This window comes from Homo sapiens, chromosome 8, assembly GCF_000001405.40.
Source record: "Homo sapiens chromosome 8, GRCh38.p14 Primary Assembly".
NCBI classification, from domain to species: Eukaryota; Metazoa; Chordata; class Mammalia; order Primates; family Hominidae; genus Homo; species Homo sapiens.
This window is the reverse complement of record NC_000008.11, coordinates 124,187,209-124,204,594: the sequence shown is the minus strand read 5'-3', so window position 1 is coordinate 124,204,594 and position 17,386 is coordinate 124,187,209. Positions and strand designations below refer to the sequence as shown.

Here is a 17,386-nt window from a genome sequence, read left to right as displayed (position 1 = left end):
ATAAATGCATGTATGTCAAGCACATAGCACAGCACCTAGCACATGATAAATGCTCAGTCTTTGTAGTATTCTCTTTCCTTTCTCAAAAATAAACAAATACACAATGTAGAACTCCCAAGCCTGTGTCCTGGACCACAGTGCCCTTAAATGATGCTTACAGCTCCCCCTGGCATTCCTCGCAGAGGGAGGAGACAGTAAAGGCTCAGAGCCACGCCCACTGCCTGCTCTGTCACTGGGTGATGTGGGTCCTTTCTGTACTCTGGGACAACCCATGCTCATCACTCTTGAGGTTTTTGGCACTTGGCAGTGATTGTCCTGAGAAGGAAGTGCTCTCCTGGTATTTCCAGGGGGACAAATGAATCACTGAGTGTGGCCTTGGCAAGTGGTTCATTCTTCTATGAATGGTGACAGATACCCAAAAGGGAACAGCACTCAATGCCCAGAGACTGGCTTTGGATACAAACAAAAACAGTAGTGATATTTACTGTTCCGGACACCCCCCTATTTCTGATGTCACTTGAGGCTTACAACTTTGGGAAGTGGGTTGGGAAGGCATCACCACCAGGCCACTGGGGAAATTAAGGCAGGCAGAGTGAATTGCTTGGCCATGATGACACAGCTTATTATCAGTCCTGGTATTCCAACTTCCACACCTGGGGTTCTGCACTACTCCAGGCCCTTGCCTTAGCCTTCTCAGCCAACAGAATGGTGAAAGGGAATGAAATGGCCTCATTTGGGTTTCATCTTACCTTCTCTGGTTTGCCTCCTCCTCTGCTCCCACATCCAGTGAGGAGCCTTGCCACAGGGCAGCTCCTGGCTGTGCATGTGGGCAGGGCTGTTCCTCCTTTGCCAGGGTCCTACGCCTGTCACTACCACTGACTTGGTACTTAATCACACTCAGCCTCACACTGTTGGCTGTCCCGTGTTTGACTCCGATTTCTCCCGATTCATGGTTTGAGTTGAATTTGTAAAAAGAGGAGAGAAGTGGCTGATGCTCTATTTCCATGGTCCTCACCAGGGGCAGAATCTTCCCCTCCACTGAGAAAACATTTGAAAGTTGCATGGGGCATTTTGGTATAGTACAGTGGCTAGGGGAGCCATTAACATTCCGTGGGTGTGTGTGTGTGTTGGGGGGTAACCATCCTGACACGTGCAGGACAGTTTACACACTGCATAGCCGTGAGAACATCTCATCCAAATGTCAATAGCACCTCCACTGAGAAACACTGTTGTGATTGGAGAATCAGCCCTTGCAAAATTAGAACGACCTCTATTGGATGATCATTGTGGCTTATCTTGTAACTCTTCCTTGGGTAAAAAAAGCCACTCAAGGTAAAAAGGAGCTTTCTGCCACCCACCCTCCCCATGAAATGGCCGATTCCACAGCTTATTGGTGAGTCTCAGGGTGTTTACAGACAGAGCCAGGGCTGGGGGTTCCGTGGCAAAACACAGAACAGCACAGACTCCAAAGCCATACAACCTGGGTTGATATTGTGGCTCTGCCATTTACTAGTTGATCTTGGGCAGAGTATTTAGTCTCTCTGTGCCGCAGTTTTCACTATTTGTAAAGTAGGGGCAATTGTAGCAACCACTCTGTTTTGTTGTGCCTCGCACATGGTAAGAGTCTAATAAATGTTAGATATTATTTTTTTACAATCACTACCATCTGTGGGACCTAGGGCAGTGTACTTCTTGGCTCTATGCCTCAGTTTCCTCACATGTAAATGGGGGATAATAATACCTACTTCAAAATGTTTTCGGAAGATCAAACGAGAACAAACATGTAAAGAGTCAAGTAGAATACATGATGCTCATAAGAGCCTCATGAAGGTATTACCCCCATTTATCTTACAGGTCAGAAAACTGAGGCACAAAGAGGTTAAGTAACTTGGCCAAAGATACAACGCTAGTAAGAGGAAGAGTGTAATTTGATCCAAAGCTGTCTGGCTCTAGATTCAGTGTGCCCGGCCATTATAACCATTACAACCATTCGCTGCTGTTCATTAGCAAGCAGCTAGAACAACACGTGGCAGGTCGTGGGCACGCAGTAAATGTTAGCTCTTACTAATGGATGGCAGAAGCTGGCTCTGTTTGCTCAACACACACCTCTGAGGGTTATAGCCAGAGCCACAGACACATAGGAGCAGCCACCCTTGGTTGGCGAAGAGACAGTTCTGACCTTTAGCCACTGGTGTGGACACTCCATCCAGGCAGTGTCAGGATTCCCAGACTCCCTGCAGAGAGACCGTGCTGTGCGAGGGAATCAGGAAACTGAGAATCCGGTCTTTGTTCTGTTGCCTCTGGTCACTCACAGGGCTGTGGCTTTCCTTGGGAGAAGGAGGGAGGTGTCCAAAGATGTTACAACAATGATGGGAGGCTGGAGGTGGGAGCATGCCTTGGCGTCCCACCGTCTCTGTTAATGGGAACATTCCCCTGGTTGTTGTCACATGACTTGTGACAGCACTAGTTGGGGCAAAGCTCCTGGACTGTGCACAAGCGGGAGCGAGTTTCTGCAATAAAAAGAGAATCAACATGACACAGGGGTGCCCTTGCTAGGCCAGGCAGCATAGCATGGAGGAATGGAAGCTGATGCCGGGTGGGTGGCTGAGCTTCTCCTCTTGCCATCACCCTCCCAGCCGTGTCATTCTAGGTCTGCCCCTCAGCCTCTCTGAAGCTTATGTCTGTAACCACAAAGTAGGGATGAAAATCCCTTACCTGTCTCTTCACACACTTGTATTAAGCTTGACTATGGTAAAGTAGTAATGACCACTTAGTCACTGCTTATTACGTGTGGAACGCTGTGTGCTTTATAGACATAGCTTTATAGACATAGCTATAGACATAGCAGATTGCATCTCCATAACATCCCCGGGAGGCAGCTATCATTATTCCTGTTTTGTGAAGCTGGATGCTGACTCTCAGAGCCCATTTAGCCCATGCATGTACAATCTGCCCAAAACTTGGGCTCTGAATCACTCCATTGTGGGTGTCCAAAGAGGCAAGGAGAGAGCACTACCATCTGTTAAGCACCTACTATGTGTGAGAAAGTCCACATTCCTGGTCTTAGTCTGGCCCCACATCACCCACGATGAGGCCCTTTGAAGAGTGGAGGGGGTGGGGAGGGACGATGGTTGTTGGATTAAGGCAGTGCTGTGGTCAAGATGGCCCACTTAGACGTGAGGTCGGGTCCCAACTCATGCGTGCAAAGAACACACTCCAACAAGACGTCTAGCTTCACTGAGCCTCAGTTTCTTCTTCTATCAAATGGGGTGGATAAAGCTACGTCCCTCAAAATTTGCTGAGAGATGAAACAGGTAAAGTATGTCCCACTGTGCCTGGCTCATGGCAGCTTCTACATAAATGGTGGCTATTAATAGCTCTAATTACGAGTTTCTAGTGGCTGAGCATTGAGGAGATAAGAAGGGGCTTAGTTTTCCTTGCTCTTCAGTCCCTCCCATTCCTTTCCCAAATACGAGATTTATATCTCCTTTTGCACCCACTAATATGCCCCAGCCACAATGGCCTGTTATCACGTCCTAGGGATGACACAGTCCTGAGGCCAGATCCTTTTGTCACCTGCTGCTGGGGACTAGGATCAGCTCGCTGATGCAGATTGTCCTGGGAGGTTTCCATAACAAAGTTGGGCCGGGGAGCAGGAATTCCCTCTACTCCTGAGGGGTGGCTGGTTCAGCTGGAGACGTCCTTGTTCTCAAACTTCAGCAGGCTTCAGAATCGCCTGGAAGGCTGGTTAGGCCACCGATGGCTGGGCCCCACCCCAGTATTTCTGATTCAAGAGGTCTGGGGTGGGGCATTTCTAACAAGCTCCAGAGCTTCTGCTCTTCTCACTAAGCTATGTTGACTCTTAAAAGAATGGAAATATATTTAATTAACATTACTGAAGTGGTGTCGTGGCAAAAATCTGTCACTCCTGCTGGTCCAGGGACCACACTTTGAGAACCACTGAGCTAGAGAAACGGGAAGGGCAGAACTGGATGGATGTGGCCCCTTCCTGTGAATTTCTCTTTCTTGGAGAGAGTGTTTGTTTGTTTTTTCTCTGAGTCATCTAATGAATCTTCATGATTTCTGTTACTAAATGTCACTGTTGAGTAGCCTGATTTGAAATGGGGTATGAGGCAGTCCTGGAAACACAGCCCCATCTGAAGTCGGGGTGGGGTTAGGGGTCCCAGGCCTCAGTTAGGGAGTGGGCTCCTTGTCCACACAGGCTTCAGGGCTGATGCTGTCTTCTTGCCTCAGCTGGCATGCGTTGGCCTCCCAGGGCCCGGCAGGGCTTTCTTCACAGCTGGGCTGACTCATCTACCAGGGCAAGCCAGGGCCACAGGCACTTGCTGACAATCTGGGGTAATTTGACACTAGACTCAAACAGACACCTTGAAGAATGGACTGCCTTTTTTTGGCAGGATGCAGTGACCTGTGACTGCTACGTGAAGGCCTGGGCACTGCTGAGGTCTGGACAGAGGTAGCCTGATGATCTGGCCAGGTGCTCAGCTCTCTGCAGTTGGCTCACTTCCTGCTGTCCTCTGTGCTTGGCATTTGACAGCAACTTGTCAACTCAGCATCAGATTTCAATGCTGTCCTGATTTTCCATTCTTCTGTTACCTCCTGTCTTGGGCTCACCACAGACTCAGCAACTTGACTTAACTTGGTGTTTCTGGATGTCTTCTGTAGAAATAGCTCTGACTCACTGGCCCTCCATCACCCCCTCATCCTGTAAGCCAATCAGCATGGGAAGACAGTGGGGTTTTTCCATGTACCTCTTTGGCTGCCTTATTGTTGATATCAAGCCACTTCAGCAATAGAGATTCATTTCATAAGAGAACTATGTGATGTTCCAGTAATGTCAGAGCAAGGAAAGCTTTCCATTCATGTGGATCAGAGTTAAGGAAGAAGACGAAATGGAATCGTGGCCTCCTGTCATTTGTGGCAGGCCCCTACACCCCTGCCCCTGAAGTTCTGAGCACAGCCCATGATCTGTCAGGAGAACAGCAGGGATCTGCTTCTGGCAGGATTCTGCTCTGTGGAATCACAGATAAGCGGTTCCTATTTTTCTTCCAACACTGCAGAGAAATGACAAAATCCAGGGCCAGAATTTTCATGAATTAAATAGAGTTGGAATGGATCTGAGAGCTCGTTGGGCCAAGGGGTGGCAAATGCATTTTATTTGTGCCAATAGCAATTGTTTGGGAGGGGCTGGATAAAGCTCTACATTAGAAGCCTACTTTGAGCTCAGGCAGAAATGGTACCCTGGTCTTACAGTCACATCTGTCTTGGGCATAGGATGAGAAAGTGGTCACATATTGCCATCACTGACCCAGCTCTGTTCTCTCCATTTATGGAACAGGAAGCTAGGTCCCAGTGAATGAAAGGTCTTTCCCAGTTCCTACAACTTGTTAGTGGTAAATTTAGAAATAGAATCTAGGTTTTCTGGCCTTATTTCAGTAACATTAATTCAATACATTTTCTTTCTTTCTTTCTTTCTTTTTTTTTTTTCTTGAGATGGAGTCTCACTCCCGTTGCACAGGCTGGAGTGTGGTGGTGCAATCTCAGCTCACTGCAACCTCCACCTCCCGGGTTCAAACGATTCTCAGCTTCCCGAGTAGGTGGGATTACAGGCATGCGCTACCATGCCTGGCTAATTTTTATATTTTTAGTAGAGACGGGATTTCGCCATGTTGTCCATGCTGGTATAGAACTCCTGACCTCAGGTGATCTACCCGCCTCGGCCTCCCAAAGTGCTAGGATTACAAGCGTGAGACACTGTGCCTGGCCAACATTTTCATTCTCATTGGAATAGATGCTTTGAAAACAATTGAGTCTGAGTTCAAATCCTTAATCCATCATTTACCAGCTGTGTGACCTTGAGCATGTCACTTAATGTCTCTGTGCTTCTGTTTCCTCATTTATTAGATGGAATAAACACACCCATTTTACTATTGGGAGGATCGAATGTGATCATGGTATGTGTAGCTTGGGGCCTCACCTAAATATTCAATGTATTTTTTTTTTCCAACAGCAAATGACATGCATTATTAAGATGACAGTCTTGGGGACAGTTTGCACACCACAGTGATGGTATAATTGTGTAATTGTAGATCTAGCTTCCTCTCCTGTGAACTAACAGTTTGGGACCAGATTACCTTGAATTTTCCTCTAGCTCTAAAATTTCTATGATTGTAAATAAATGACTTTAATAGATTTTTCTTTAGCTGTTTCTATGAGCTGGTACTTGGTAAAGGAGCCCTGGAGGGTTTTCTGGAGTCAAACAAGGGTCTTTCCAGGTGCAAAGGGCATATTCAGGATTCTAATCTCTTCTATGCTGTGCAACTGATGGTCTGAGACCTCTGCATTGCGGTAAAACGAATTTTCTTCTCAGCCTTTCAAGGGCAGGAAGTGGTCTGAGTTATCAATGTCCCAGCACCCTGCATGAGCCTAGGATATGGAAGGTGGCTGACTTCACCTCTAGGGCTTGAGAAAAGCAGTCCAAGGCTCATCCATGGCCAGGGACTTGGAATTTACAAGGCCTAGGACTGAATGAGCTTGTGACTCTGGGCCCCTGGCCCAGTCACTTCCTCTTGCAGCCTGTTGATCATTCCATGCATTAAATCCGGAAGCTGCTAGGTTACGCTCTGTCCTGGCGGGGTGTGGCTAAATAGGCAGTGAGGAAATGCTGCAGCCTCTTTCACAGGGGACTGGATGGGGCCGTAACACATCGAACAGCTGTACCTCCTCTGAAAAGCCATTTCAGGTGAACCAAAGCATTCTGCCCCTACGAGGAAGAAAGGGAGGCAGTGAGGAGAGAATCAGGCCCAAAGAGCTGGGCCCAAGTGACATTTATAAATAGGAACATGGAAACTCACGGAAGAAGCCAAGCAAGGTAAAGGAGAGTGGGCAAGTCTCAGTGAGACCATTTAAGACATAAACAGCTAAGGAGAGTCTTTGAGGGCCATTATGTAACTGTTTTCCCGAACCCAGATCATAGGAGCAATTTGTAGCTGGAAAGAGAAGCATCGGAAGCTTTGGTGCTTACCTTTGTTCATTCATTTATTCAGGCACTATTCACAGCCTCGTGTGCCCCAGACTCTGCTAGCATAGGAGAAAGGACCATAACAAAGGCATTGTCTCTGTTTCCAAGATTCCAGAAATGTAACCAGGGAGGAAGGCATATAAATAGCTTGCAGAAGCAACTGTAATTATCACAGTGCCATGGCATCCACTGTTGTGTTAAATCGGGTTTCTCTTGGTGGATGTTCATTGTGGTGTCTGCCTGGAACTTGTCCGCTTCTCGGTGGAAATGCAGCCACCTTCTTTTAGGAGTATTGTTCCTCATCCCGTCCCCCTCTGAGTAAGCGCTGTCTGTCTGCACTCCTCTGACCCTAGTGATAGTTAGGAGAATGGCTAATGACCACAGTCAGGGCAATCAGAGTTCTTTCCTGGGATTCCTGTAAATGGACCTTGGGAAAGAAGAGCTTTTATTTTTTTCTGTTTTTCTTGGAAAGTGAAGCTATAAGGGAAGGCCAAGTGCTGTAGAGACCAGTCTCCTGCCTCAGAAAGATCAGCAGTTGAGGCTGGGTGCGGTGGCTCATGCCTGTAATCCTAACACTTTGGGAGGCCAAGGCGGGTGAGTCACCTGAGGTCAGGAGTTCAAGGCCAGCCTGCTCAAGATGGTGAAACCCCGTCTCTACTAAAAATACAAAAATTAGCCAGGCATGGTGGTGCACACCTGCAATCCCAGCTACTCCGGAGGCTGAGGCAGGAGAATTGCTTGAACCTGGGAGGCAGAATTTGCAGTGAGCCAAGACTGTGCCACTGCACTCCAGCCTGGGTGACAGAGACTCTGTCTTTAAAAAAAAAAAAAGTGGACAGTTAAGAAAATAAAAGGGATAGCCAGAGAAGCAGAGATAAGACACACACACACACACACTCACACACACATACACACACACTCACACACATACACACACTCACACACATACACACACTCACACAACATACACACACTCTCACACACATACATGCATATGCACACACGCACATACACACACTCACACACATACACACACTCACACACATGCACACACAAACACTCACACATACACACACTCATACACACACACACACACACAATGCAAGAGGGAGAAAATGAGAGGGAGAGAAAAGCAGATAGTTGAGGGCCTTTGAGTCCCTGGTCTTACTCTCTGCCGTACTTCTGCAGTTTACAAACACCAGCTACTCACTTCCCTTTTTGTGTTTTTGCTCAAATTCAGTGTCTGTTGCTTACCATTAAGCGTCCCATCTAATAACAATATAGCCCCTACCAAGAAGAGAGGGAAGGGAACTGGCATTCCTACCTACTAAGGACCAAGCATTTTTTAGGCACTTTGCAAACTGCCTGACTTAATTCTCTAAACAACAAGTGAGGTAGGGCTCAGCAGCCCCTTTTGATATTTCAAACAGTAAGAGAAGTTAAACAGCTTGCTCAAAGCACAGCAGTAGGAGTGAAGCAGAAGCAGGAAGTGGTATCATGCCCTGGGGTTATAGAGGTCAATCGAGAGATGCTGTCTAGGCCTTCAGGTAGTTCACAGGATTAAGCACATAGTCACAAAGAAAAATGTATTAGGTTGGTGCAGAAGTAACTGCGGCTTTTGCAACCACTTTTTTTTTTTTTTTTTTTGGAGCTGCAGTTTCATTATTGTTGACCAGGCTGGCATGGTCTCAGCTCATTGCAGCCTCCACCTTCTGGGTTCAAGCAATTCTCCTGCCTCAGCCTCCCAAGTAGCTGGGATTACAGGCACCCGCCACCATTCCTGGCTAATTTTTTTGTATTTTTAGTAGAGATGGGGTTTCACCATGTTAGTCAGGCTGGTCTCAAATTCCTAACCTCAGGTGATCTGCCCGCCTTGGCCTCCCAAAGTGCTGGGATTACAGGCATGAGCCACCGCACCCGGCCTCACAACCACTTTTAATGGCAAAAACCACAATGACTTTTGCACCAGCCTAAACTCTGGCAATCAGTTTTGAAAATAAAGAGGAAGGAGGTAGAGGAAAATCCCGACTTAAACCGAAGACTAAAGGATGGGAAGGAGCTGTGGGCAGGAGGGAGGAGGGGCGTGGATAGCCAGTGGACAGAACAGAGGCTGGGAGGCAGGAGAGGCCAAGGCATTTTTGGCAGGGAGCGGGGACACAGTCGGGGGAGGCTGTTGCAGTGATGCAATGACGGCACTGAAGTAGAGGACACGGATGTCAGGAGCAATGGAGGGATTTGAGGGAAGTGGCGGGGGGACTTGGCAGGACTCAGTCACAGCTTGGACATGGTACAGAAAAGGAAGCAAGGCTGGCTTCCTGGTTCAGAGAAGTAAAGAAAGATTTCCATGTCTGGGCTGACAGAGTGGGACAAAAAAGTGGACGCTTTCCAGGGGTACTGAGTCTGTTTGGGATGCGGAACGGTGAGACGGAAGAAGAGAAAGAAATGTACTTGTCATTTTAATTACCATTGGGGGTTCGGCTCACTTGGTGCAGTGGGTAAGAAAGCCAAAATTAAATGCAGTGAAATTTGTCCTGAAAATGGAATTCCTCAGCAGGTTAGAGAACCCTGTGCTAATAGCAATGGCTTTGACAATAGCTCCCATGAGGCCTGTCTTAGAGCACAATGCTTTGCACACTTCTGAGGCACTCAGTGTCTTTTAATTTTTAAGGAGGAAGGAAGAAAAGCAGAAAAAGAGAGACAAATACTGTATTCTAATTCTCAAAACTATACTTCAGTCAGCCAGCCAGGATCCTACACTGAGAACCCAAGTTTGTAGCAGAGCAAAGCCACTATATCTGCCTTCTCAGGACCTTCTTCCTCTTTTGGAGACAGGGTCTACTGCCAAGGCTAAAGTGTAGTGGTGCTAGCATAGCTCACTGCAGCCTCAACCTCCTGGGCTCATGTGATCCTCCTGCCTCAGCCTCCTGAGTATCTAGGACTATAGGCGCATGCCATCAAGCCTCGCTAATTTTAAAATATTTTTTATAGAGAAAGGGTCTTATTATGTTGTCCAGGCTGGCCTTGAACTCCTAGGCTCAAGTGACCGCCCCCTGCCCGCCTTGACCTCTTAAAGTATTAAGATTACAGGCGTGAGCCACCAAGCTTGGCCAAGGACCTTCTTAAAAGCTACTTTGATAATTGCAGCAATTAGCTTTGACATTGTTTTACTTCTTCAAGTAATAACAGAAAATACTTTATTCAACTGTTCAACCTTGGTAATGGTGTGAATTGAGTGTGGTACAGCCACACTGGTGTGTCCTTCACAACACTGGGGGACACTGTTCACAGACACAACAATGTGTTTGTGTCCTGGGAGTGGCGTGTGCTTGACCAGCAGGATTTGACAGTGGTCTTGCATGAGAGGACCTTAGCTCAACTTCAAACTTGGTTTCTTCATGGTTGTGTGACTCTCTGAATGAGTCCCTTCATCTCTCTGGACCTTAGTTCTATTGGCTGAAAATGGGGAAGCAAAATTGGACCAGATCAATGTTTCCAAAAGCATGTTTGCTAGAACGATCAATTCTATAGGCTATTTTTAGGTGTTATTTGATAAAACAGGTTCCAAGGTCAAAAAGCACTGGATTAAAATAAGTTAATATAGTGTGGCCTTTTTGTAAAGAAACTGTAAGATACAGATCTACAGAAACTATAAGATATGGATAAGTGATAGAAAACACTTAATGTGGAATTAAAATTGCAGAGTTTGACATTTTTGACCAGGAATTTTTCTTTTTTAAACTGGTCCTGCTCTAGCTGGAAGGCTGCATGTCATTTTATGACTGGAGTAGCTATATATATATGTATATATATATATATAACTTTTTCAACTACAAAAGACTGTAAATTGATTATAGTGAAATTGGAAAATGCAGATCAGTGAAAAGAAAATTTAAAACCACTTAGGGAAAACAAATATTTATAAAATGCTTCATTTCAAATGTAAAAACTAAAGTTACCCACTACCCTATAGAAATCCACAGTGATAACATTTTGTGTATTTCCTTCCAGACATTTTTTTCCCTCTACATGTGTCAGCACTTCCCAGATGTGATGATGGTATTTGAAAGAGCATGATCTGGAAATCCTGAGCCGTGCTGCCACAAGAAAATGGATGCACAGAGGACAAGGCCAGGCAGCGCAGGTCTTCATTACACTGAGACTTTGCCTGAGTCCCATGGTGCCCCAGTGCCCTGGCCTGGGCACATCAGCACTGCCTTCTGTCCAGGCCCCATGAGTCTCAGATGGTGGACCCTGGTGACGGAAGGCTGGGTAGATGCCATGGACCTTTCCATAGGTCATAGCCACAGCTGAGCACTTGGTGTCTTACTACTCAGTGGAGAGGAGAAGTGTGCTGAAGGGTGGTAAGAGAGTGTGTCCAGGGGCCCAGACCAGAGTGGGCCATGCCTCATCTAGAGAGCAAGCATCTTCCAGAAAGGAGAGCCCTTGGGTCCTTTTACAGAAGCAATCAGAAAAACATCGGGAATCTCCCAGAAGACTGAATGTAAGAGGACGAAGGGTCCGGGCACAGTGGCTCATTCCTGTAATCCCAGAACTTTGGGAGACTGAGGTGAGTGGATCACTTGAGGTCAGGAGTTCGAGACCAGCCTGAACAACATGGTGAAACCCCATCTCTACTAAAAATACAATATTAGCTGGGCATAGTGGCGCATGCCTGTAATCCCAGCTACTCAGGAGGCTGAGGCAGGAGAATCGCTTGAACCCAGGAGGAGGAGGTTGCAGTGAGCCGAGATTGCATCACCGCATTCCAGCCTGGGCAACAAAGCAAGACTTCATCACACACACACACACACACACACACACACACACACACACACAAACGAAACAACAACAACAACAAAACCAAAAAAAAAGAAAAAGAAAAGTCAGGTCTGGGGAGCTGAAGTGGCTGACAGAGGAGGAGGAGAATTATCTGCAGTGCTTCCCAAATTCAGGACACTCACCCAGTGCATCTCAAAGCCTGAGTCCTCATATCTCTTCTGGGGAAAGGAGAGAAAGAATTGCTGGTGGATTCTGCTGTGTTTTGCCTTGAGGTCATTATGGGCAAAATTTCACACCTATAAGGCCCATTGCTGAGGAGGGAGTGGACCTCTGTGATTCCTCTTGAGCAAAGGAATAAACATCCTAAGTTTGTGAGTAAAGCGTCCATCACATTCTCTGGAGCCATCACTGCTGTTTGGAGAGGTGGGAGTTGAGAGAGGCCATTACTGGGCAGAACCTGAGTTTTCACTTGAAGATTCGTCCCTTATGAATCCAGCCCCTAGAAAACAGAGCAGCCAGCAGGCCTGTGACATTTCAGTTTGGCTATAAAAACTACAGGTTAATAATAAAACTCTTTTCTGGTTTTAAAATTATATTCACGTGCATCAGCTCACATTTCTGAAAAAGCACTTAGGACAGCACCTGAGGCAACTTAAGCATCATATAAATGTTGGTTTTGTGGTCATTCTTGTTTTATAATTATTATTATTTGTATCCTCACCCTGGTAGGCAGACAAGGCCATAGTCAATATTATAGTCGTTTTATGGATAATAAAAAATGGGAGAGGAATTAAGTAACCTATTTAAATTCATATAATAAACAAATGGCAGAGCCAGGACTTGAAGCCAGGTTTTTAGGCTGCACATCTCAGCTTTAACAAATGACAGAACACCTGCTCTCACATGTGGCTTTATTTGTCACCTAACCACCCTCTTAGGCAGGTAGGCACTGGGGGCAGTGCTCATGAGCTAGGCTTTTCAGCAAGAACCAGACATGGATATGTATTGGTTCTGTCACTTACCAGCCCTGTGACCTGGAGCTGGTTTTTTAACCTCTCTGGGCCCCACAATTTTCACTGGTAGATGGAGTAACAGTAGTGCTGACATCCAGGGCTGTGGATGAGGATTGGGGAAGATATTTTGATATGAGTCTAGTGCTCAGCACACAATGGCAGTGATTATAATCACAATATGGTCATTTTTCAGATGAGAAAACTAGCTCAGAGAACAAATGTGATTTTCTAAAGATTTGGGTTTCCTTGCTCCTAATTCCTAGTTCCTGCCACCACTGAAATCAGGACCGTAGATGTTGCTCTCAGCATGACCATTAGTTTAGACAGCTGTAGGTAATCAGAGCCAAGCAATGCCCTCCCAAATACAACAATCACACACAGAAAAACATGGAACCCTTCTGCAGATGCCTTCCTTCACTAGCCCTAACCTCACTCTAGTGTCATCTTTATTTGGTTCAAGCCCTACCCAGTATTTCTGTCTTCACCTGGATTTAAATGCTCCTGTGATCACACATAAGCTTTCATGCATCTATGTCTCGTTTCTATAATCATTACAGTGTAAGTGAACATATAATAGCTGCTTCTTCAGACCACACTTCCTCTCGGCAGTGCCTACCACAATCATGGTAGGTATTGACTCTATGTCTAGTGGCCCCACCTTTCCTCTGTAGCCCAAGCCACATATCTTTGTTGCTTCCTTTTACTTCTTTGCTAGTCACAGTTTGTAGTTGCAGACAACAGAGTCCATTTCCATTTCTGAAAGAAAGATTTTTCCTTCTTTTTTCTTCTTCTCTCTCTTTTCTTCTCACTCACAGAATTATTCGAAGGGTAGACATCTGAGCTCTAGACTAAGCTCCCAGGTCCACATGTAGATTTGTCCCATTCACGTCGATGCAGTTGTCCCTGAGATGAGAAACCACACAGCTTTTGCCGTCCCCTGTACCAGCAAAATGGATGCCCCCTGTCCAGCCTGTGTCCCTGCATAGGTTACTTCTGGATGGAATTCTCATACTGGTGCATCTGGCTAGTTGAATCAGGCACATTTCTGCCCCCAAGCTGTGAGGGAGGCTGGGAAATGTAGGTTTTGTTTCTGCTCTGGGAAGGCAAGGGTAACACTGATGGAAACTATCCACGAGTTAATGGAGCATTTAAAGTATTTGGGGGACACAGAGCAAAGACAAGGTGTATAATCCATCTTCAGCATCCACATGTAATTGGTAAGCAAATTTCAGCAGTTCTAAATATGAACACTTCTGGGATTCATCTACTTCTCTCTACCCCACTGCAGTCCTTTGGCTCAGTGCTTCTCACATGGACAATGGCAACAGCTTGTAAGTAGTCTCTCTGGCTCAGTCCCCTTTCTGCCCTATCTCACGTATGTTTTGTAGCCAGTGTTACTCCTTTGCTTAAAATCCTCAAAGCTCCTGGTTGCTTTCAGAAGTGAGTTTAAACTTATAATTATGGCTTTTAAAATCCTTTGGAATCTCAGGCCGGGGGTGGTGGCTCACGTCTGTAATCCCAGCACTTTGGGAGGCTGAAGCGGGTGGATCACCTGAGGTCAGTAGTTCGAGACCAGCCTGGCCAACATGGTGAAACCCCGTATCCACTAAAAATACAAAGATTAGTTAGGCGTGGTGGTGGGTGCCTGTAATCACAGCTAATTGGGAGGCTGAGACAGGAGAATCACTTGAACCCGGGAGTTGGAGGTTGCAGTGAGCTGAGATCGCACCTCTGCACTCGAGCCTGGGTGACAGAGCCAGATTCTGTCTCAAAAATAATAAATTAAAATTTAAAAATCCTTCAGAATCTGGAAGATACTTCTCCAGGCCTTTCCACGTGCTGTTCCATCTGCCTGGGGGGCAATTTTGATGACTGTGTACCATTTCATCATAAAGGGACCAAACGTTATTTAATCAAGCTGTTACTATTAGAAATCATATTGACTTAAAATATGTGCTCTTTTAAAAAATGTTGCAATAAACATTCTTTTAGCCAAATATTTTGAAATGTTATTAGGGTAGACTCTAAAAAATAGAATGGGAAGTACTAGCTAGAGCATCAAGGCAAGAGAACTACAAAACACTGCTGAAAGAAATCATAAATGACACAAACAAATGGAAAAATATTCCATGCTCACAGATTGAAAGAATCAATATCATTAAAATGGCCATACTGCCCAAAGCAATTTACAGATTCAACACTATTCCTATCAACTTACCAATGTCATTTTTCACAGAAGTAGAATAAACTGTTCTAAAATTCATATGGAACCAAGAAAGAACCGAATAGCCAAGGCAATCCTAAACAAAAAGAACAAAGCCTGAGGCATCAAATTACCCAAAATTAAACTGTACCAAAGCTACGGTAACCAAAACAACATGGCACTGGTACAAAAATAGACACATAGACTAATGAAACAGAATAGAGAAGCCAGAAATAAAGCCACATACCTTCAACCGTCTGATCTTCAACAAAGTCAACAATAACAAGCAATGGAGAAAGGACTCTCTATTTCATAAATGGTGCTGGGATAGCTGGCTAGCCATATGCAGAAGAATAAAAAGTAGATCTCTAACTTTCACCATGTACAAAAATTAGCTCAAGATGGATTAAAGATTTTATTTTATTTTATTTTTTTGAGACTGAGTCTCACCCTGGCACCCAGGCTGGAGTGCAGTTGCACAATCTCAGCTCACTGCAACCTCCACCTCCTGGGTTCAAGCAATTCTTCTGCCTTAGCCTCCCGAGTAGCTGAGATTACAGGCGCCTGCCACCATGTCCAGCTAATTTTTGTATTTTTAGTAGAGACAGGGTTTCACTATGTTGGTCAGGCTGGTCTCAAACTCCTGACCTCAGGTGATCTGCCCACCTTGGCCTCCCAAAATGTTGGGATTACAGATGTGAGCCACCGCACCTGGCCAGATTAAAGATTTTAAATGTAAGACCTCAAACTATAAGAATCTTAAAAGAAAACCTAGGAAACACCATTCTGAACACTGGCATTGGGAAATAATTTGTGGCTAAGTCCTTAAAAGCAATTGCAATAAAACCAAGAATTGACAAGCGGGACCTAATTAAACTAAAGAGTTTTGCACAGGAAAAGAAACTATCAATAGAGTAAAAGACAACGTGCAGAATGGGAGAAAATATCTGCAAACTCTGCATCTGATAAAGGTCTAATACCCAAAACCTATAAGGAACCTAAACAATTCAACAAGCAAAAAACAAATAACCCCATTAAAAAGTGGGCAAAAGACATGAACAGACACTTTTTAAAGGAAGACATTCAAGTGGCCACCAAACATATAAAGAAATGCTTAACATCACTAATCATCAGAGAAATGCAAATCAAAACCACAATGAGATACCATCTCACACCAATCAGAATGGCTAAGATTTAAAAGTCAAAAACAACAACAACAGATACCAGTGAGGCTGTGGAGAAAAGGAAACACTTAAACACTGTTGGTGGGAATGTAAATTATTTCAGTCGCTGTGGAAAGCAGTTAGGATATTTCTCAAAGAACTTATACCAGAACTCTTAATACCGTTTGACCCAGCAATCCCATTACTGGGTATATATCCAAAAGAAAATAAACCATTCTACCCAAAAGACACATGCGCTTGTATTTTCATCGCAGCACTATTCACAATAGTGAAGACATGGAATCAACTTAAGTTCCCATCAATGGTGGATTGAATAAAGAAAATGTGGCACATATACACCATGGAATACTGTGCAGCCATATAAAGAATGAAATCGTGTCCTTTGCAGCAACATGGATGCAACTAATTCCTAAGCAAATTAATGCAGGAACAGAAAATCAAATACCACATGTTCTTACTTATAAGTGGTAGCTAAACATTAGGTACTTAGGAACATAAAGATGGCAACAATAGACACTGGGGACTAGTAAAGGGGGTTTGGCAGGAGGGGGGAAGGATTAAAAAACTGTTGGGTACTATGCTCACTACCTGGGTGATAAGGTCAGTTGTACCCCAAGCCTCAGCATCACACGATATACCCATGTAACAAACCTGTACACGTACCCACTGAATCTAAAATAAAAATTGGAATTATTGTTATTATTATTATTGAGACGGAGTTTTGCTCTTGTTGCCCAGGCTGGAGTGCAGTGGCTCGATCTCAGCTCACTGCCGCCTCCGCGCCCTGGGTTCAAGCAATTCTCCTGCCTTAGCCTCCCAGATAGCTGGGATTACAGATGCCCGTCACCACACCCAGCTAATTTTTGTAAAATATTGGAATTATTTTTTAAAAATAGAAACGTTGGGTCAGAAACTATAATTCTTTTCCTAAGATGTATGAAATTTATCTTTTTGTGCCTTTTAGTGAATTCTCTTATAGATTTCCTGAAGGTTGAGATTATGTCTTGTCTATCCATCCCACCAACCAACCAATCAATCAATCAATCAATTAATCAATACTTATTGAGGCACAGTACTGGGAACTGAAAACACTGTGTGAGAAGAATCAACAAAGTTCCTGCCTTTAAAGTAGGAGATAACTGGACGATCACAAGACAATGACAGT

At 45.0% G+C, this 17,386-nt stretch overlaps 2 long non-coding RNA genes across 2 annotated transcripts in view, besides 4 other annotated features; one reads left to right on the top strand and one right to left on the bottom strand.

Annotated features, from left to right (window-relative positions):
* LOC101927588 (uncharacterized) overlaps nt 1–11,904 on the top strand; it is a 54,708-nt gene extending 42,804 nt beyond the window's left edge. Inside the window, exon 3 of the long non-coding RNA NR_125420.1 lies at nt 11,051–11,904. This is a non-coding gene — a long non-coding RNA (uncharacterized LOC101927588). The remainder of the gene's footprint in view (nt 1–11,050) is intronic.
* Nucleotides 8,128–8,177: a silencer, noted in NCBI's record as "silent region_19507". NCBI's record gives its function as "represses an Ori minimal core promoter by ATAC-STARR-seq in GM12878 lymphoblastoid cells {active_cell/tissue: GM12878}" and the evidence as "EXISTENCE:reporter gene assay evidence [ECO:0000049][PMID:35858748]".
* Nucleotides 8,368–8,417: an enhancer, noted in NCBI's record as "active region_27878". NCBI's record gives its function as "activates an Ori minimal core promoter by ATAC-STARR-seq in GM12878 lymphoblastoid cells {active_cell/tissue: GM12878}" and the evidence as "EXISTENCE:reporter gene assay evidence [ECO:0000049][PMID:35858748]".
* Nucleotides 8,458–8,697: an enhancer, noted in NCBI's record as "active region_27877". NCBI's record gives its function as "activates an Ori minimal core promoter by ATAC-STARR-seq in GM12878 lymphoblastoid cells {active_cell/tissue: GM12878}" and the evidence as "EXISTENCE:reporter gene assay evidence [ECO:0000049][PMID:35858748]".
* Nucleotides 8,728–8,787: an enhancer, noted in NCBI's record as "active region_27876". NCBI's record gives its function as "activates an Ori minimal core promoter by ATAC-STARR-seq in GM12878 lymphoblastoid cells {active_cell/tissue: GM12878}" and the evidence as "EXISTENCE:reporter gene assay evidence [ECO:0000049][PMID:35858748]".
* Nucleotides 10,205–12,124, bottom strand: LOC124902015 (uncharacterized). Its single transcript, XR_007061086.1, has 2 exons — nt 12,004–12,124; nt 10,205–10,495 (listed from the first exon to the last, which is right to left on the bottom strand). It is a non-coding gene; the product is annotated as an uncharacterized LOC124902015 (long non-coding RNA).
* Nucleotides 12,125–17,386: the final 5,262 nt, after the last annotated feature.